At 46.1% G+C, this 20,786-nt stretch overlaps 2 annotated features.

Annotated features, from left to right (window-relative positions):
- Window positions 8,731–9,025: a silencer, noted in NCBI's record as "tiled region #14714; HepG2 Repressive non-DNase unmatched - State 12:CtcfO". NCBI's record gives its function as "represses a minimal TATA promoter and a strong SV40 promoter by Sharpr-MPRA in HepG2 cells {active_cell/tissue: HepG2}" and the evidence as "EXISTENCE:reporter gene assay evidence [ECO:0000049][PMID:27701403]".
- Window positions 18,974–19,474: an enhancer, noted in NCBI's record as "H3K4me1 hESC enhancer chr11:122489240-122489740 (GRCh37/hg19 assembly coordinates)". NCBI's record gives its function as "activates a minimal SCP1, AML or CMV promoter by ChIP-STARR-seq in naive H9 embryonic stem cells {active_cell/tissue: H9 hESC(naive)}" and the evidence as "EXISTENCE:reporter gene assay evidence [ECO:0000049][PMID:30033119]".

Genomic DNA, 20,786 nt, shown 5'->3' with positions numbered 1-20,786 from the left:
ACTCTACCCTGCGTGACAGAACAAGACTTGGTCTCAATATTAATAATAAATAAAAGGCATGCTGTATTCCCAAGGCAGGAGTGGAGGAGGGACAGAGGAAGGGAAGGGTGAGAGAGAGGAGAGAAGACAAAAAGGATGGAGACGAGAGAGGGATTGGCTCCTTTAACTGCTTCCTGTTGTGGTGATGCTTTTGCACTTGTACATCTGTGGAAGGATGTGAAGTGGGAAGTGTTTCGTGGTCATAAGAAGAGCAGCAGCTGGTGGGGGATGACGTGGGTCGATGGGTACTCTGGAGGGAAATGGCAGAGTACAGGAGGAGGGAAAGAACCCGCTAAGGGAGTGGTAGAATATAGAAGACTATCATCCCCTCCAATCGGGCCAGCTTCCTCACAAATGGTTGTTAAATGAAGGTGTCTGGCTCTCATTCTCAGTCCAGTCCAGGCCCCACTGTGGTAGTGCTTTCCTTTCTCCCAGATAAAAGGACAGAATTGGAAAACTCACTCTATGACCTGGAGCCCAGTAGAACAAATGTGAGCTAAACTATCCAGAAGTCAGTCCACTTTAAATAGCATTTTGTGGGGCCGGGTGCAATGGTTCATGCCTGTAATCCCAGCACTTTGGGAGGCCAAGACAGTTGGATCACTTGAGGTCAGGAGTTCAAGACCAGCCTGACCAACATGTAAAATCTCGTCTCTACTAAAAATACAAGAAAATAAATAAAAAAATTAGCCGGGTGTTGTGGCACATGCCTATAATCCCAGCTACTTGGGAGGCTGAGGCAGGAATTACTTGAAGCCAGCAGGCAGAGGTTGCAGTGAGCTGAGATCACAACACTGCACTCCAGCCTGGGTGACAGAGCAAGACTCCATCTCAAAAAAAATGGTATCGTGATTGTGATTTAAATGGACTTCTTATTTTTTAGAGACACATGCTGAAATATTTGTATATGAGCTAACATGGAATCTGGGATTTGCTTCAAGATAGTCCAGTGGGGTAGTGACTAGAGAGAAGTGGCTGAGGATACAGATGAAGGAGGATTGTCCAGGAACTGATTGTTGCTATAGCTTGGTGAAGGGTACAAAGAGATTCATGGTGCCATTTGCCTCACTTTTGTGTATGCTTAATTTTTCTTTTACTTTTTTTAAATTTTCTTTCTTTTTTTTTTTTTTGAGATGGAATTTCCCTCTGCTGCCCAGCTGGAGTGCAGTGGCATGATCTTGGCTTAGTGCAACCTCTGCCTCCTGGGTTCAAACGATTCTCCTGCCTCAGCCCCTGAGTAGCTGGGATTACAGGCACCTGCCACCACCCCAGGCTAATTTTTGATATTTTTAGTAGAGACGGGGCTTCACCATATTGGCTAGGCTGGCCTCGAACTCCTGACCTTGTGATCCGCCTGCCTCGGCCTCCCAAAGTGCTGGGATTACAGGCGTGAACCACTGCACCCAGCCTTTTTATTATTATTATTATTTATTTTTCTTTTTATTTATTTTTTTTGAGATGGAGTCTTGCACTGTCGCCCAGGCTGGAGTGCAATGACGCGATCTTGGCTCACTGCAACCTCCACCTCCCAGGTTCAAGCATTTCTCCTACCTCAGCCTCCCGGGTAGCTGGGATTACAGGTGCCCATGACCACGCCCGGTTAATTTTTTGTATTTTTAGTAGAGACGGGGTTTCACTGTGTTGGTCAGGCTGGTCTCAAACTCCTGACCTCATGATCTGCCTGCCTCGGCCTCCCAAAGTGCTAGGATTACAGGCGTGCCACCGCACCCAGCCTTTTTTTTTTTTTTTTTTTTGAGACAGAGTTTCACTCTGTCGCCCAGGCTGGAGTGCAGTGGCACGATCTCGGCTCACTGCAACGTCTGCCTCCCGGGTTCAAGTGATTCTCCTGCCTCAGCCTCCCAAGTGGCGAGGATAACAGGCACTTGCCACCATGCCTAGCTAATTTTTGTATTTTTAGTAGAGATGGGGTTTCACCAGTTGGCCAGGCTGATCTCGAGCTCCCGACCTCAGGTGATTCACCCACCTTGGCTTCCCAAAATGCTGGGATTACAGGCGTGAGCCACTGCACCTGGCCTTTGTATATTTTTAAATAATATCATAATACAAAATGAGCTACATCAACACTGAAGGGCTACAGAATGTTTCCCCCTTTATTTATCTATTTAACAGAGGTGGGATCTCTCTATTTTGCCCAGGCTGGTCTCAAGGGATCCTGTGCCCTCAACCTCCCAAAGTGTTGGGATTATGTGTGTGAGCCACTTCACCCAGGCTTTTTTTTTTCACTTTAAAATGGTATCCATTTCTGAAGGAAAACATCAGCACGTTTTTGGGGATATAGAAGGACTGACTTTTGATGTTGAGAAATTGTTTGAATAGGATGTTGGCAGTACAGTTAAAAATGAAAAATTAGGTAAAAGAGATATTTTGGAAGTAAATCCACCCTTTCTAGAAGATTGAGACAACTTAGATATGGGACATTAAGGAGAAATGTTTGAGTCTACAGGACTAAGAAAATGGTAATGCCATTCTCAGAAACTGGTTATTCAAGAAGAGAAGCTTATTTAGGACAGGAAGAGAGGAGTTTGCTAAATTTATTTCGGATATGTTGAAGAAAGTGTCATGGCAGCAAACTGGAAATATGGAAGTGGGACTTGACAGATGTAAACGCTTCTCTTTCGAACCAAAGACACACCATATACCCTACTCCACCCTGGACCGGGGGCCTCTGTGCTCAGCACACTATAGATAGGGCTGAGTATAAAAACCACACACAGGGCTGGGCACGGTGGCTCACACCTGTAATCCCAGCACTTTGGGAAGCCAAGGTGAGTGGATCACTTGAGGTTGGGAGTTCGAGACCAGCCTGGCCAACATGGTGAAACCCTGTCTCTACTAAAAATACAAAAATTAGCCGGGTGTGGTGGTGCGTGCCTGTAATCCCAGCTACTAGGGAGGCTGAGGCAGGAGAATCGCTTGAACCTGGGAGGTGGAGGTTGCAGTGAGCTGAGATCGCGCCGCTGCACTCCAGCCTGGGCAACAGAGGGAGACTCTGTCTCAAAAAACAAAAAACAATACAACAACAACAACAACAACAACAACAAACCACACACAGGGCCCAAACCAAGGCTGGCTCCGTGGGACCAGAGATACTCTCAGTCAGCCTGAACCAAGCCCTAAACTGGAAGGCACCAGGAGCGGTAGGAACAGTAGCCGGCACCGCGTGTGGGGTGGGGCAAAGGGCCTGGAGCTCGCCTTACCCTGCATCCAGGAAGTTGCTGGCCTGACTTCCAGCCACCACCAGCTGTGTGAGTTGTCACTAAAAGGCAATTGTAACTGCCTCCTCTTTTTGGTTCAGATTACAAATGGTAACTAACCAACCCCCAAAAAGAAAAAAAATGTTCCGGTTTGGAAATCTGAGACCATCTGTTTCTCATTCTATTTCCCCTCTCTTTTCTGGATTTTTTATATTTGATCCTCTCCCTCTCTCACTCGCTCCCACTCCTGAAAACACACAGTTCAGCCAGGAGCATAGTGACCTTATTTGACTATCTTTTCTTTAATGAGAATGCTGGATTTGTTATTGGGATTAAATTTGAAAATTCCTTGTTTCCATTCAAAATAGATGCCTTGGATTGTTTACTTAAAAATGTTTTTTCATAAAAATTGTTTCTGTATTTAATCTAGATAATAAATAAATCTAAATGAAATAAAATAAAAATAAACAAAGTCACATATGATGAAGCCACATGTAGTTTTGTTGAAATCCATGCAAAATTCCATCTTAAAGTCTTTTTTTTTTTTTTTGAGACAAAGTCTCACTCTGTCACCCAGGCTGGAGTTCAGTGGCACGATCTCGGCTCACTGCAACCTCCACCTCCCAGGTTCAAACGATTCTCCTGCCTCAGCCTCCTGAGTAGCTGGGATTACAGGTGCCCACCACCATGCCAGGCTAATTATTTAATTTTTAGTAGAGATGGGGTTTCTCCATGTTGGCCAGGCTGGTCTCGAACCGCTGGCCTCAAGTGATCTGCCCCCCTCAGCCTCCCAAAGTGCTGGGATTACAGGCAAGGGCCACCTCGCCCAGCCTCTTAATGTCTTATTAACAGACTCATTTAAATTTAATGAAATGGCTGGATGTGGTGTCTCGCGCCTGTAATCCCAGCACTTTGGGTGGCTGAGGTGGGAGAATCACTTGAGGCTAGTAGTTCCAGGTTAGCTTGGGGAATATAGCAAGACCCCGATTCTACAGACAACTTAAAAAATTAGCCAGGCTTGGTGACACACCTGTAGTCCCAGCTACTCAGGAGGCTGAGGTGGGAGGATTGCACGAGTCCAGGATGTTGAGGTTGCAGTGAGCTGTGATCACGTCCCTGTATTCCAGCCTGGGTGATACAGCAAGTCCCTGTCTCTAAAAAAAATAAAAATAAAAATAAATTTTTAAAATTAATCAGAGGATCAGTTACGGATTAAAATGCAATATTGAACTCTCTGTATTGGAAGCAGCAACAGTGTTGCGAGGACTGCTTCTCTCCTGGGATTCAGGCATGGGCCGGCTGGCTTTAGAAACTCTCTATTTCCCTATAGTCTGGTGTTACAGGTCCCTCTTGTGTTGGTTGTTAACATTGTCTTGCTTCTGTTCTAGAACCATGAGAACCTGATTCTGTAATTGAGTTAATCAGCATATTGCAATCAATATTCTCCTCATCACCATCATCATCACCATCAATAGCTAGGTGTACATACAGAAGACAATGGGAAATCAGTGTAGGGTCGTTTAAAACCACGTGCTTTGTAGCCAGATGGATCTGAGTTCGAACTGTTATTTCTCAGCGATATTACCTGGGGCAAGTTAATTACACTTTTGTGTATTAGTTTCTGCATTGATTAAGTAGAGGTGATAATAATACTCATTTTCAAGAGAAAATAGGATAATGTATATAAAGTGTCCGATGTAGAGTCTTAAAAAATGTACTTCCTTTCCTATTCACTTCTTTTTCTAAGGAAGACAGAATTCTTTTTTATTTTTATTTATTTTATTTTATTTTAGAGATGGAGTCTTGCTCCATCGCCCAGGCTGGAGTGTAGTGACAAGATCTCAGCTCATTGCAACCTCTACCTCCCATGTTCAAGCGATTCTCCTGCCTCAGCCTCTCGAGTAGCTGGGACTACAGGCACCTGACACCATGCCTGACTAATTTTTGTATTTTTAGTAGAGACGAGGTTTTGCCATGTTGGCCAGGCTGGTCTCAAATTCCTGACCTCAGGTGATCTGCTCGCCTCGGCATCCCAAAGTGCTGGGATTACAGGCGTGAGCCACTGCGTCTGGCCCAGAAATTCTTGAAAAGTGAGTAAAGATGTAATCCAGGCAAATTGGATGTGCTGTGAACTTATCAAAGGATTGAGTAATTGTTAAGCTTCCTACATAATGACAAAGCAAAATTTTAAAAAATGACAAATTAGTCAAAGTATCATTTTAACCCATCATTATGCCCAGTAGAGGACCCCTTTGCTTATATCCTGTTTCCCTGTCTTCCTTCCTTTACTGTCCCCGCTCCGGAAGGCTTTGAAGGTCTTGGCTTTTCTTCTTGCGGTTGAAGTCTGGCAAGTGCCTGCTTGCTGCTTCTGTCCTACGACCCTGCTTGTAGCAAGTCCTCAGGTCAAGATATAAACACATTTTATTGCAATTAGTAGGGCAAGTTGTGTGTACAAAGTATTTGCTAAGGCACTACTGATTATACGTAATCATGCTTCTGCTCAACATAAAGGATTTCTCCTTCCTCTGAATTCATATGGGACGTGCAGTGCAAAAATTCATTGAACCCTTAGCATACACCATCTTGTTGTTTATACTACTTGTTCTAATATATACCTTTCCAGGATTCTTGGGGCTGTCTCAATTCCTCTTTGAATTTTTACCAACAAGCCTAGGCTTGACCACAAAGTCAGCTTTGGTAAATATTTATTGTATTAAGTTGAATTGTGTATCTTGTTTGCCTGAGGATACTGGAAATATTTCAAAGAAAGAAATTTGGTTCTCTACTTCTTTGTACCCCCTTTTTCCTCTTTTTAACCCACCATGATGCTCTCGAGAGGATCAGTACATCTTTGATAATATTCACAGTAAGTAATAGAACAAAGCCGACTAGAATTTTAATTTGCAAGCATCCAGCCCAGGACTGAACTTGCTGACAACAACCCTGCCAAAGGTCATTCCCCATTTGCCAGAGCAACTGTAGTTCTGGGGAATGCAACACTTATCAAGGCAGCTATTTCAGACAGAAATCTTATTTTTTTTTTTTTTTTTGTGACTAGAGACAGGGTTTCAGTATGTTGCCCAGGCTGGTCTCAAACTCCTGGCCTCAAGTGATCCTCCTGCCTTGGCCTCCCAAAGTGCTGGGATTACAGGCACGAGCCACTGTGCCTGGCCCAGAAATCTTTGTATGGGGTTACAGTTTTTGTCCCTTTAGATCTAAAACCTATGCATTGGAGGAATTGAAAACTCTTTTAAACCTGCTTTCTACACGACAGCCCAGCACATATTCAAGCTCTTTGTAGATTCAAGATAGCTCTTGAACCAGACATGGTGACATGTGCCTATGTTCCCAGCTACTTGGGAGGCTGAGCCAAGGGGATTGCTTGAGCACAGGAGTTTGAGGCTGGAGTGAGCTATGATCATGCTTGTGAATAGCCACTGCACTATAGGCTGGGTAACACTGCGAGACTCCATATCAAAAAAAAAAAAAAAAAAAAGAAGGAAAACTTTTGAATCTGAATCTGATTTTTCTATGATAAAAACTTCAGTTCACTCATGATATAATTTTTTTTTTTTTTTTTGAGACAGAGTTTCTCTCTTTTTGCCCAGGCTGGAGTGCAACGGTGCGGTCTTGGCTCACTGCAACCTCTGCCTCCCAGGTTCAAACAATTCTCCTGCCTCAGCCTCTCAAGTAGCTGGGATTACAGGCATGTGCTGCCACTCCTGGCTAATTTTTTGTATTTAGTAGAGACGGGGTTTCGCCATGTTGGTCAGGCTGGTCTCGAACTCCTGACCGCAGGTGATCTACCCGCCTTGGCCTCCCAAAATGCTGGGATTACAGGCATGAGCCACCATGCCCGGCCTTGGAGGCTACTCTTAGGGACAACATAGAATCCACATCTACCTCCCACTGCCACTAATCCCAATGACATGGGTAGAGGCTGGTGCTCTTTGCCATAAAACTGCAGACAGGCCTGGCGGAGGACTTGTAGAACTTGAAGTGGGAGATCCAGCAGGACTTGGAGGAACTACAAACATGATCCTGTCCTGAGACAGTCCCGTGCTGAAGAGATGACCCTCCCATCCCCATGAGCAATGACCTGCCAAGTGGGGCGTCACCCGAAGTCTCACCCAGCCCTCCTAGGTAATTCCTGCTGTGCCCCTTTCAGCTTCCACATTGCCTGCACATTTCCTTAGAGGCCGACCGTAATCCAGGACCATATAGAGAGGAGATTCCTGGAAACGTAGTTCCAGCTGAGCTGAGCTGACACAGTACAAATCACCACAATACCTTAAGGACTGCCTACAGACAGTGATTTTAACATCTCAAGTTTCAGGTGCTTCTGATGCCTTCAATACAAAAATTGTTTCAAAAAGCCTGGAGTAGACACAATGACCTTCTGCTGGGGGGCAGTTGAGTATTGGGAAATCTAAATGATACATCACATTGTCAATTGTCTGACTAGTTCATGAAAAAACAAACCAACCTTCTTTCTAAGTTTATACCACACGAAAGAATAAAAGGTGAAAGATTCAGCATCATGCAGCAAAGTCCAAATCCCTGGCTGACTGGCATTACCTTCCCACCTTTCTGCCTGCTCCTGGGTCCACATGGGTGGAAACCATCATCTCAGTGGGGGACTGAGGATTGAGGTCACTGCTCTTCATCATAGTGCAGGTGAAGGTGTTCAGGTAGTGTCGACGGAGTGGTGTGTGTGTGTGTGTGTGTGTGTGTGTGTGTGTGTGTGTGTTTTGGGAGTGGGGATGTGTGAGAACAGTATTTACAGAAAACATTCTTTCCCTGGGGGCTGGCTCACACCAGGAAGGGAGACTTTCCCACTGCCAGTCTCCTTGGGAGACTATGTGTCAGCAACACCAACTGGGTGACCAAATAGTGGTGATTCCCACAGTTCTTGGCTATGACCCTGTTATTATCTCTGCCTGCCCTGTCTCAAAAAGAAAAAAAAAAAAGGGCCAGGCGTGGTGGCTCACACCTGTAATCCCAGCACTTTGGCAGGCCAAGGCGGGTGGATCGCCTGAAGCCAGGAGTTCGAGACCAGCCTGGCCAACATGGTGAAACCCTGTCTCTACTAAAAACACAAAAATTAGCCAGTCGTGGTGGCGCGCACCTGTAATCCCAGCTACTCGGAAGGATGAGGCAGGAGAATTGCTTGAACTCAGGAGGCAGAGGTTGCAGTGAGCCCAGATTGTGCCGCTGAACTCCAGCCTGGGCAATAGAGTGAGACTCGGTCTCAAAACCAGAACAGAAACAAAAACAAAAAACAAAGAAAGAAAGAAAGAACTGGTTATATGTATTGTTCTTTGCCAGTTTGCAAAGAAGTGCTTGTTTAATAACTTTTTGTACATATTTGACTCGGGGCTTATTTTCATTTCAATCTGGTCACAAGGTTGCAAGAGAGCAGTTAATTTTCACCTGTTGAAAAAGACCCAGGAGTTGTGTGTTGCTGAGATGGCTCAGTCAATTTACAAGTAATTTCTCCTTTTCACAACGCCAGTCGCCATCTCCAGCTTCCTTCTTGCCCATCCACTAACAATGGTATTTTGTCTCTCAAACCAGATTTCACCCTTGCACAGAAACGACCCCTTGTGGCTTTCCCTGGGGCCTGCATCCCTAGGGCTGGCTCTGATGAGAGTAGCCAGCCTTGGGTTCGCCCTCCTGGAGGAGGAGGAACCTCCTCCTGCCTCCCTCTTACTGCACAGGATGCCACCAGTCTGTTGGAAGCAGAAATGAAAAAGAACAGTCTGTTTGCCAAAGGAATGTGTCTATGCAAAAACATATAGCTCAACACAACTGCTGCACCGAGAGGAAAATCGTAGCATCTGCCAACCCACAAAGCCTCCTCACAGCTTTTCCCTGCATCCCTCCCCTTCCAACAGCAGCCACTGTGCTTATTCCAATCACAGTGCAACAACTATTTTGGAAAAGAAGAGCCCGGGCCTGCAGCAGCCATCTGATGATCTAAGAGCTGATTTGTACTTGAGCAGATGAAAAATACTGCCACTGTTGACCTCGGGGAGTTGAATGCCATGGGGTGAAATTTTAATGATGCTTACATTTTTAAATAGTTTTTCATGACTTTTAACTGAGGAAGTCTGCTGTAAGGATGAAACCAGATAAACTAATGTTCAATGATAGTGGAAGCTATTTAGTTGAAACTGATAGCAAATATTTATTGCCTATATATTATATTCAAAGGACTGTGCTAAGTGATGCAGAAAAGTCAGAAGTGTTTTATTGGGCCCTGATTTTTCTTTTTGGCCCTTTGTTGTGTTTATTTTTTATTATTTTTGAATTTTTTGAGACAGTCTAGCTCTGTCGCCCAGGCTGGAGTGCAGTGGCGTGATCTCAGCTCAGCACAACATCTGCCTCCTGGGTTCAAGTGATTCTTCTGTCTCAGCCTCCCTAGTAGTTGGGATTACAGGTGCTTGCCGGCACCACCCAGCTAATTTATGTATTTTTAGTAGAGATGGGTTCATCATGTTGGCCAGGCTGGTCTCAAACTCCTGACCTCAAATGATCCACCTGCCTCAGCCTCCCAAAGTGCTAGGATTCCAGGGGTGAGCTACCCCACCCAGCCCGTTATTGAGTTTAGAAAACAAATATTGCTATTTTCTTTGGGTCCATTATGAATTCTGGTGCTGTGATCTGTCATTGTGCCCAGGATTAGAACCAGCTGATGGGTGTGCAACTTTAAAGGCACCGTTCTAAGATCCATTAGGGAAAGCCCAGTCCATTACAGAGAAGGGAGTCTCACTCCTTGGCTCTTTCCTTAGTCCTGCAATCTCTGTGTCACTCTGGACTTCTGCCAGATGGGTAGGGAGTCTGTCTGCATCGCATATTCCGCAGAGAGGATGAGCTTGGGTGTTATGACTGGTTGTGAATGTTGGGAGCCAATTTATTTCCAATCTTCCCAACAGGTAGAATTGTTACAGCTGATTCCTTTACTGGTTGACCTGTTAAATAATAACACATCTCTGAGACAAACATTAGGTATTTCCTAGAGACTATACGATCCAAATCCATACCTGGGAAAGGATATTCTCCCCATTAGCAAGGCTCTGTGACTATTTTTTGTTTTTTTGTTTTTTGTTTTTTTTTTGAGACGGAGTCTTGCTCTGTTGCCAGGCTGGAGTGCAGAGGTGCTATCTCGGCTCACTGCAACCTCTGCCTCCCGGGTTCAAGCGATTCCCCTGCCTCAGCTTCCCGAGTAGCTGGGACTACAGGCCAGCTGTGCCTGTAGTGCATCACACCTGGCTAATGTGCCATCACACCTGGCTAATTTTTTGTATTTTAGTAGAGACGGGGTTTCACCATGTTGGCCAGGATAGTCTCGATCTCCTGACCTTGTGATCTGCCCGCCTCAGTCTCCCAAAGTGCTGGGATTACAGGCGGGAGCCACCGTGCCCGGCCTGTGACTGTTTTTAAACAGGTGTCCTTGTTATAATACTAAAAAGCCTTTGGGACTTTTATTTTCTGTTTCGGTGGAAGGGCCTGGCAACATCACAAAAGGATGACACTAGGCTGGGCCTGGTGGCGCGTGCCTGGAATCCCAGCACTTTGGGAGGCCAAGGCAGGTGGATCACCTGAGGTCATGAGTTCGAGTCCAGCCTGGCCAACATGGTGAAACCCCGTCTCTACTAAAAATACAAAAATTAGCTGGCTGCAGTGGTGCATGCCTGTAATCCCAGCTACTTGGGAGGCTGAGGCAAGAGGATTGTTTGAACCTGGGAGGTGGAGGTTGCAGTGAGCTGAGATCATGACACTGCACTCCAGCCTGGGTGACAGAGTGAGACTCCATCTCAAAACAAACAAACAAACAAACAAAACTGACACTAGCTTTGAATGGTTCTCTATTCTTACTTCTCAGGGAATGAACCTTAATAAGTCAATTGGCTTCAGAGTCTCACCTTGGTGGAGGTACGGGACTATGAGGGGATGTTGCCAATTCCTCTTTCCCCTCTGTTCCAGAAAGTCACAGAAATGGGGCAGTGGAACAGGTTCTCCTCAAATAGGTTCTTACTAGAGATTCCCTTAGTGAAGTGTTTGGGACTTTGGAAAAAGTAAGAGAAGACTCTAGCTTCTTGCAGCAAAATAAGAACAAATGCAGTATGGAAAACAGAGGGGCAGGTCACTTTTGCGTGTGAAAGCAGATGTCTAAACCATCTGTAGCCTTTCCAAAGCCTGGCACCTTTGCACCCTGTAATGTGAGGTGGAGTTTCTGGAATACTTAGTGCTGGAAGGTGGCAATCTGTAAAGAGGCAGAAAACTACTCTCTCCAGCTGGGAGCTGGAGCCCTGGCTCGTGCTGGACTCTGATGTGGCTGCTGATATGGGCAGGAGAAGGAGCATGCCTAGCTGGCTGGAGCTTAAGGTCCAGCTGTTAACCTTGAGCCAAACTGTATGAAGAGTACCAACCTTCAGGCCATAGAGTCTCAAAGGAAGTTCCTCAGAGTCAGGAAGAGACTACCCCGAGCATGTTATGCTTGAGGTGGGAGGTGTCTGAGGCTCAGAAATAGGACTTTCATGGAGACGGATGTGTGCTGCTCCAGCGCGCTGGGCGCTGGAGCAACACTCTCACAGCTCAACACTCTCCAGCACATGGGAGTGAGCACTTCTGGGGTCAAGGCTCATTAAAGTGACACAGGGGACTCTGGTTAAAAGACTGTCTATCTCTCTACTTTTTTTTTTTTTTTGAGACAGGGTCTCATTCTGTCACCCAGGATGGAGTGCAGTGGCACCATCTCGGTTCACTGCAACCTCCGCCTCCTGGGTTCAGGTGATTCTCCTGCCTCAGCCTTCCAAGTAGCTGGGATTACAGGCGCCTGCCACCACACCTGGCTAATTTTTATATTTTTAATAGAGACGGGGTTTCACCGTGTTGCCCAGGCTGGTCTTGAACTCCTGACCTCAGGCAATCCGCCCACCTCAGCCTCCCAAAGTGCTAGGATTACAGGTATGAGCCATTGCGCCCGGCCCCATCTCTCTACTTGAGGAGGCAGAATTCTACTTTTCTTTTTTTGATGGCTTCGTAAACCCATAGAGCTTTTATTTTTCTAATAGAGTATTTTTTTAGAACAGTTTTAAATTCACAGCAACGTTGAACAGAAAGTACAGAGAGTTCCCACAGATCCCCCACCCACCCACACAGCCTCCCCCACCATCAACATCATTACAATAGGTGAACTAACATGGATTGACACATCATTATCAACCAAAGCTCATAGTTTACATTAGGGTTCACTCTTGGTGGTGTACATTCCTTTTTTTTTTTTTTTTTGACAGAGTCTCTCTCTGTCACCCAGGCTGGAGTGCAGTGGCACAATCTCGGCTCACTGCAAACTCTACCTCCCAGGTTCAAGCTATTCTCCTGCCTCAGCCTCCCAAGTAGCTGAGACTGCAGGCACGCACCACCATTCCCGGCTAATTTTTTGTATTTTTTTGTAGAGACAGGGTTTCACCATGTTGGCCAGGCTGGTCTCGAACTCCTGACCTCAAGTGATCCACCCACTTTGGCCTCCCAAAGTGCTGGGATTACAGGGGTAAGCCACTGTGCCCAGCCCATTCCATAGGTTTTGCCAAATGTGTGATGACATGCATCCACCATTGTAATAGTATACAGAATAATTTCACTACCCTAAAAATCCCCCCAGCCCCCATGGAACTTTTTTAAAGGAAGGATTTCTGGGTATCTCCTAAGATCTATGGAACTGGAATCCTTACAGGCAAGACCCAGGAATTTGCATATTAATGTTTCCCCCACCTACCTCCATACAGAGGGTGAAATTTAGACAGCTAATCCAAGCCATGGTCAATGTACAGAAACTTCTAGATGATACAATATCTAAGGCCTCTTCTCATTTTAAAATTGTGCGATGTATTGGCTTAGCCTGGAAATTCACTCCCAGTTGACTTCAGAAAGAATCAAGTGGTTCTCAGGGGACCCCAGAGGCCACCCATGAGTGGCTGGTTTGGAAGGGTCCTCCTCCCACTGCAAGTCTTTTCTTCCTATTAGATGGGGGATTGGGTTCTCGGACGTCTTGCCTTCCACTAAGGACACTCAGCAGAATTCCACGTGAATTTTTTCACATTTTCATGTGGTGGATGATGGCCAAAGTTTGGAACAAAACAAAGTGAAAGAAAGCCGGGTGTGGTGGCTCATGCCTGTAATCCCATCACTTTGGGAGGCCGAGGCAGGTGGATCACCTGAGGTTGGGAGTTTGAGACCAGCCTGACCAACATGGTCAAACCCTGTCTCTACTAAAACTAAAAAATTAGCCAGGTGTGGTGGTGCATGCCTGTCATCCCAGCTACTTGGGAGGTTGAGGCAGGAGAATCGCTTGAACCCGGGAGGCAGAGGTTGCAGTGAGCCGGGATCACGTCATTGTACTCCAGCCTGGGCAACAAGAGTGAAACTCTGTTTCATAAAACAAAACAAAGGGAAAGAACAAAAAACACGTATATTTTCTGGAGTTAGTACCCTCCGTCTTTGCTGTATAATAAGATTCCCACAGTACTACAGCAGCTTCCTTTACACTCAAGAAAGCACACTTTATGCATTAATGCATGTGGCTCTTACCATGAGAAGACAGGATTCTTAGGCAAAAGGGGGCACCTTTGGAAGAGGCTCAGATATTGCTTTGTGGAGGAAATGTAGAGAAGATACACAGTTGAGTTATAGTCACCTGCCCTTGGCCTAGGATTGTGACACGTGGGTTCATGCCTAGAGGACTGGGGGCTTGACCCGCAGGGACGTGTTTGCATGAGAGGCTGAGGAACCTCCTGAGAAAGAACTTCTCCTGAGGGAGCAGGGTGGCAGGCAGACAGATGGAGAAGTGGGCCACCATTCTAACTGTCCTCTCCCTACCCCATGGATTCCATATCCTAGGAGGGGACCAGAGGAGTGGACAGGACCTGCAGGTGAAGCAACACAGAAAGAGCAGTTTTATCAGAAACTCTGAAAATGGCCGGGTGCGGTGGCTCACGCCTGTAATCCCAGCACTTTGGGAGGCTGAGGCGGGCGGATCATTTGAGGTCAGGAGTTCGAGACCAGCCTGACCAACATGGTGAAACCCCGTCTCTACTAAAACACACACACAAAATTAGCCGGGCGTGGTGGCGGTCACCTGTAATAGCAGCTACTTGTGAGGCTGAGGCAGGAGAATTGCTTGAATCCAGGAGGCAGAGGTTTTAGTGAGCCAAGATGGCACCACTGCACTCCAGCCTGGGTGACAGAGCTCAGAGCAAGACTCCCTCTCAAACAAAAACAAAAACAAACACAAAAACAACTCTGAAAATGTTTGGAGCATAAGGGTATTGGAACCCTTGGTCTTAAAGAGTAGCAAAGTGAAGAAAGGACACTTCTTACTTTAGCATGGTACTGCCATGTCCCCTCTCAGGAGCTCTGTCAACTGCCAAACCAGCAGTCTCTCCATCTCCCTGAGCTGCCTCTTAAAATGACCCTTAAAACCCAGATCGTCTTTATTTTCCTATTCGGCGAGATGCGTATAGAGGGAAAGCCTTCTCTGTGCTTTGTCCAGCTCTCATGAACTCTCACAGGTACCTGCTGGCTTCCTCCTGTGGGGAGCAGCGTAAGAGACCCATGTTTTCAGTTGCTGCCCTTGAAACCCCGTTGCCATATATGTGGGAAACTCTCTCACCACTGATGGGAGTGTTGGGAGATACTAACTAAAGCAGATCCCTTTCTGGAAGACCTGGGGTTCTTTTGTCTGCTGATTGGCTCAAGGCCTCTGGATGGTCTTGTTGAAACTTCCCTTAACTGCATGGCAGTTTAGGACATTTCTACCCAAACTTCTCTCCCTCTCTGTGTGTTTTTTTTTTTTTGGTTTTTGGGTTTTTTTCCTTCTTTCTTTCTTTCTTTCTCTTTCTTTCTCTTCCTTCCTTCTTATTTTTTCAGTCTCGCTTGGTCACCCAGGCTGGAGTGCAGTGGTGCAATCTCAGCTCACTGCAACCTCTGCCTGCCTGGTTCAAACAATTCTCCTGCCTCAGCCTCCTGAGTAGCTGGAATTACAGGTACCCACCACTATTCCCGGCTAATTTTTGTATTTTTAGTTAGTAGAGAAGGGGTTTTGTCATGTTGGCCAGGTTGATTTCAAACTCCTGACCTCAGATGATTCGCCTGCCTCAGCCTCCTAAAGTGCTGGGATTACAGGTGTGAGCCACCGTGCCCCAACTTCTCTCTGTTTCTTTTGCTTTTTTTTTTTTTTGAGACGGAGTCTCACTCTTGCCCAGGCTGGAGTGCAGTGATGCCGTCTTGGCTCACTGCAACCTCCGCCTCCTGGGTTCAAGCAATTCTCCTGCCTCAGCCTCCCGAGTAGCTGGGACTACAGGCACCTGCCACCACGCCCGGCTAATTTTTGTATTTTTAGTAGAGACGGGGTTTCACAACGTTGGCCAGGCTGGTCTCAAACTCCTGGCTTCAGGTGATCCACCCACCTCGGCCTCCCAAAGTGCTGGGATTACAGGCAGGGGCCACCGTGCCCTGCTCTCTCTGTTTCTTAAATCATGATCTGACTGTGTTACTAGCCTTCTCCAGCTGCCCTTCCTCTCCCCACTGCTGTTTTCTTTACAAGTATTGCCCTTAAAACAAAAACAAAAACCTTTATAGGTTTAATCGTGTCTTGGCATCTGCTTCTTGCAGATTGGACTAACAATTCTTTCCTACCTGGGCTTGAGATCATTAGCTTAGGTCAGCTATGATTCTGAGAGAGTAGACCTAGATCTTTGTTTATCTCTCTGAATGCAAGGCCTCAGGTTAGAATCAGTGTGCTGGGGAGAGGACAATTCTTCACCAATTTATAGCCCTTGTGTGGGTATGTTAGAATTGAATATTGAGATAATAATTTCTTTTCTTCCCAGAAAATTTTATTTCCTCCACTCTAAGCAGGAAGACAGGGACTCCATGGCATGCAGAGGCTGCCTGAAAATATCTTTTCATCCTGTCCTTTGGGAAAATCTTGACTCATTATGCTAGGTGCCTCTGAGAGAGAGAGAGAAGCAGTGTTTTAGAGAGGGAAGGGCAAGCAGAGGACATCTCAAGCCCAGGAGCAGAGAGTGGTCCATTGCTTCTCATAGAATGGAGACTTGAGACCTTCCTTATCTTGGGGGTTGTGGAGTTGTAAGGAACTCAGAGCAGGATGGGGATGCACTGTGGGCTGTAGCATAGACACTAGGGTCCCAAGATGGTCCTAGATTCCCACCCCCAGGTACAGCATGTAAGTATGAGAGCCAGAAGACTTCAAAGTATGGTAGGGGTTGGGACAATGAAGACATTAACAGCCATGTTATAAACTGAATACAGAAGTTTCTTTCTTGGTCTATGTCAGCTTTCTGGATTCTTGGGGACCTTAAGGGGGAGGAAGGAGTCCTAAGAATGCCTGAGATTGAGGCCAAGTGCGGTGGCTCACTTCTGTAATCCCAGCACTTTGGGAGGCCGGGGTGGGTGGATCACTTGAGATCAGGAGTTCGAGACCAGCCTGGCCAACATGGTGAAACCCCCTCTCTACTAAAAATACAAAAAATTAGCCAGGCGTCGTAGCAGGTGCCTGTAATCCCAGCTACTCAGGAGGCTGAGGCAGGAGAATCGCTTGAACTTGGGAGGCAGAGGTTGCAGTGAGCCAAGATCGGGCCATTGCACTCCTGCCTGGGCAACAAGAGCAAGACTCTGTCTCAAAAAAACAAACAAACAAAAAAAGAATGCCTGAGATTGAATGCACACCAGCCTAGTGAGATGGGAATTCAGAGTCAGATTTGACCTGATTTATTTCTCATCCAGTTTTTTCGGTTATAATTCACATATTATAAAATTCATTCTTTTATTATTATTATTTTTAGAGACAGGGGCTCACTCTGTTGCCCAGACTGGAGTGCACTGGCATGAGTGTGGCTCACTGTAGACTTGGCCTCCTGGGCTCAAGTGATCCTCCCACCTCACTTCCTGAGTAGCTGGGACAACAGGCATGTTTCACCCAGCTGAATTATTTTTGTTTTTGATAAAGACGAGGTCTCACCATGTTGCCCAGGCTGGTCTTGAACTCCTGGTCTCAAGGAATCCTCCCATCTAGCTTCTCAAAGTGCTGGCATTACAGGTGTGAGCCACCACACCTGGCCAAAATTCATGCTTTTAAAGTATACAGTTTGGTAGTTTTTAGTTCTATATGTGCACAGAACTGTGCAACCATTAACACTAGTTAATACTAGAACACATTCATTATTCCAAAAGAAATCCCATACACATCAGTGTTCACTCTCCAGTCTTCTCTTCCCCCCAACCCCTGGCAAACACTAATCTACCTCCTGTTTCTATACATTTGCCTATTCTAGACATTTCATATAAATTGAATTATGTAATATGTAACCTTTAATGTCCGGCTTCTTTCACTTGGCATAATGTTTTCAACGTTCATCTGCCTTGTAGCATGTATCAGTACGAGTTTATTATGCCTAATCTGAAAATCTGAAATCTAAAATGCTTCAAAATCTGAAGCTTTTTGAGTGCTGAAATGACGCTCACAGGAGATGCTCATTGGAGCATTTTGGATTTTGGATTTTGGGATTAGAGATGCTCAACCGTAAGTATAATGCAAATATTCTAAAATTTGAAAAAATCTGAAATCTGAAATACTTCTGGTCCCAAGCATTTTGAATAAGGGATAACTTAACCTGTACTTCATTCCTTTTTATGGCTGAATAATATTTCATTGTATGGATATACCACATTTTATTTATCAGTTTATCAATTGATGAACCTTTGAGTCATTTCCGCATTTTGGTATAATGAATAATGCTGTAATGAACATGCCTGAATAAGTTTTTGTGTGGATATAGGTTTTCAGTGCTTTTGGGTATATACTTAAGAGTGGAATTGCTGGGCCATATGGTAACTCTACGTTTAACTTTTGAAGAAGCTGCAAAACTATTTTTCAAAGAGGCTATACCACTTCACTTTCCTACCAGTAATGTATGAGGGTTCCAATTTGTCTATATCCTTGTCAACGCTTATTATTGTGTGTCTTTTTTGATTATAGCTGTCTTGGTGCTTATGAAGAAATATCTCATAGTGGTTTTGATTTGCATTTCCCTGATGAGTAATGTTGTTGCATGTCTTTTAATGCAATTTCAGCTGACTGTATACCTTCCTTGGAGAAATATCTATTCAAAATTTTTGCCCATTTCAAACTAAGATTATTTGTCTTTGTTGCTGAGTTGTAAGAGTTTATAGATTCTGGATGCAAGTCTTTTTTTTTTTTAAAGGGTATGTGAACAGAAACACATTTATTACAAAAAAAAAGAAAACCCAAAATGAAAAACAAATTCACATTGTATTGAGCTACAATATGGCAGCAGATTAAAGAAAAATATTTTTAGACAGTTTAGGATAACTCCTAACAGAACATAGCCTTGTTGCCACGTGACAGGACACAGGATTCCAAGTACTCGGTAGCGGCGAGTGAAGCGGGCATTGATGGGCCTGCTCCCCCTGCTCGGGCCTCCGAACCCGCCTTGCATACCACCGTGTGGGATGGGGTGGCCCCGGGAGGCCCCGCCTGAGGCAAAGCTGCCGAGCCCTGACATCCCTTCTCAGTTCATCATGTGGCCAGGCCCGGAGTGACCGGACATGCTTCTCTCACCACCTTGCCATCTCTTGTGATCCCTGTCCATCATGCCCCCATCAGCTGTGCCCTGCCATGCTCAGTCATCCTCTCTTCAGCCACGGTCCCCCGAGTAGTCATGTCTGCCCCTGGGGGGAGGAGGCAGCCCCCGGCCCTCGCTCATCCTCCTGTCGGAGCCACAGCCCCCCCAGCCATCACGGGAGTCCCGGCTGTGGCGCTCTGGTCCTGCATGGCGTTCTGGGTAATGCTGGACATCACAGGGCCAGAGGGAAAAAAGAGCTTCAGTGTCAGCCCCCAGACCCCAAGGCTTTTCAGGCAACACGCTAACGATGACAACGACAGTCACTCTGGACAGAATTGTTGGCAGGCCGTATTGGTTCACATGACACAGCTGCCTCCCTGAAATCTGTAGGCCAGAGGCCCTGTGCCCTAGGCTCACGGCCTGGTACACAAAAGGTACCAGTACCAAGGCATCTCCAAGGCAGGTCCCCATGGCACCACCAGAGCTGGGAGGACCACCAGGAGTCACCCACTAAAGATGATGCTTACTAGAGAGATTCCCTGGGTCCCACAGCCCAAATGGTTAGTGCCCAGAGCCAATAGTATTCTCTTGTTAAGTGTCTTCTACTAAGGAAAGTTCAGGTTTATAAACTTTAAATGTGTGCATATTCTGGAAATAGTTTTTACAAATTTCTTCCTTCCACACTGAAGGAAGTATCAAACGTAGCCCTTCATCTGACCAATTGCTAGGCAAGCATCCTTCCTCATAGTCAAGTTTCTCAGAAGTTTCTGCTGGGTGCCCGGTACAGGGCCTTGCACCTTGCTCTGCTCAGGACACAGGACACTCAGAGATAAACGGCTGGAAGACAGCCGTACCCTTGGCCAGTCCCACCATTCCCTCCTCTGTGTCATTGTTTTTGTGAGCCACGTGGCTGACACAGACCAGGAGTTCTTCACCCTGCTATTTGAGGGAAGACCAAGAGAGGGCGAGTCATACTCTATGCCCACTTCTTTGATGGCCACGGTTAATATTTACACCCACAGCCTGTTTCTGTGGCTGGAAGCACTTTCCAGCCTGACTTTCACAAAAGCTAGTGAGGTAGCTTTGGCTCTACAGTCCTGTTCTTTCTCTTTCCACAAATACAGTATGTGGCCTCTGGGGTTTTTGCCCCATGACCATATTGCAAGAGAAAAGAAACGAGAAAGGAGTCCTGGTAAGGAAACCCCCTTGACGGAGCCTGGTCGTTGTCCATGTCCAAGTTCACCTCCCCATTAAACGGAGAGGTCGGCCAGGGCGAAGGCAAAGATGGCGGCATGCTCCACCACGTGCAAGATGTACTGCGTGACCACTGCCTGCTTCCCTGGCCTATTCTCCCAGTGTGTGCTCTGACGCCTCCCCTCAACAACGTAAGAAAAGGGACTCGTGAAATAAGAGCTCCTTAGTATTTGAAAATTGAACCAACATTTTTCTGTCCAACCAACCCAGCTAACAGTTCAATGAGGCCCATAAGTTCTGTGCTAGTTTTCCCTGTAGGGAGATATCACCATTTGCCTTTGGGGTAACTCTGATGACTCATTTATGACTGTGTGTGTGAGAAGAAAGGATCAAACCACCTTCCACTGTTAGGAGAGCGTATCTGACACCTGCATGAAAGCAGCTTGTGGCCAGGTGTGCTGGCTCACATCTGTAATCCTAGCACTTTGGGAGGCCGAGGCAGGAGAATCACTTGAGTTCAGGAGTTCAAAACTGGCCTGGACAACACAGTGAGACCCCGTGTCTATTAAAAAAAAAAGTGGCTGGCAATGATAAACACGTTTGTACAGACACGCACCCGCCTCATGTAAACTCCCCACCACCCCACCCTCTGTAGGAGGAATATTAC

The sequence above is a fragment of the Homo sapiens genome, chromosome 11 (genome assembly GCF_000001405.40).
Source record: "Homo sapiens chromosome 11, GRCh38.p14 Primary Assembly".
Lineage (NCBI taxonomy): Eukaryota > Metazoa > Chordata > Mammalia > Primates > Hominidae > Homo > Homo sapiens.
This window is presented reverse-complemented; position numbering and strand designations above follow the sequence as displayed.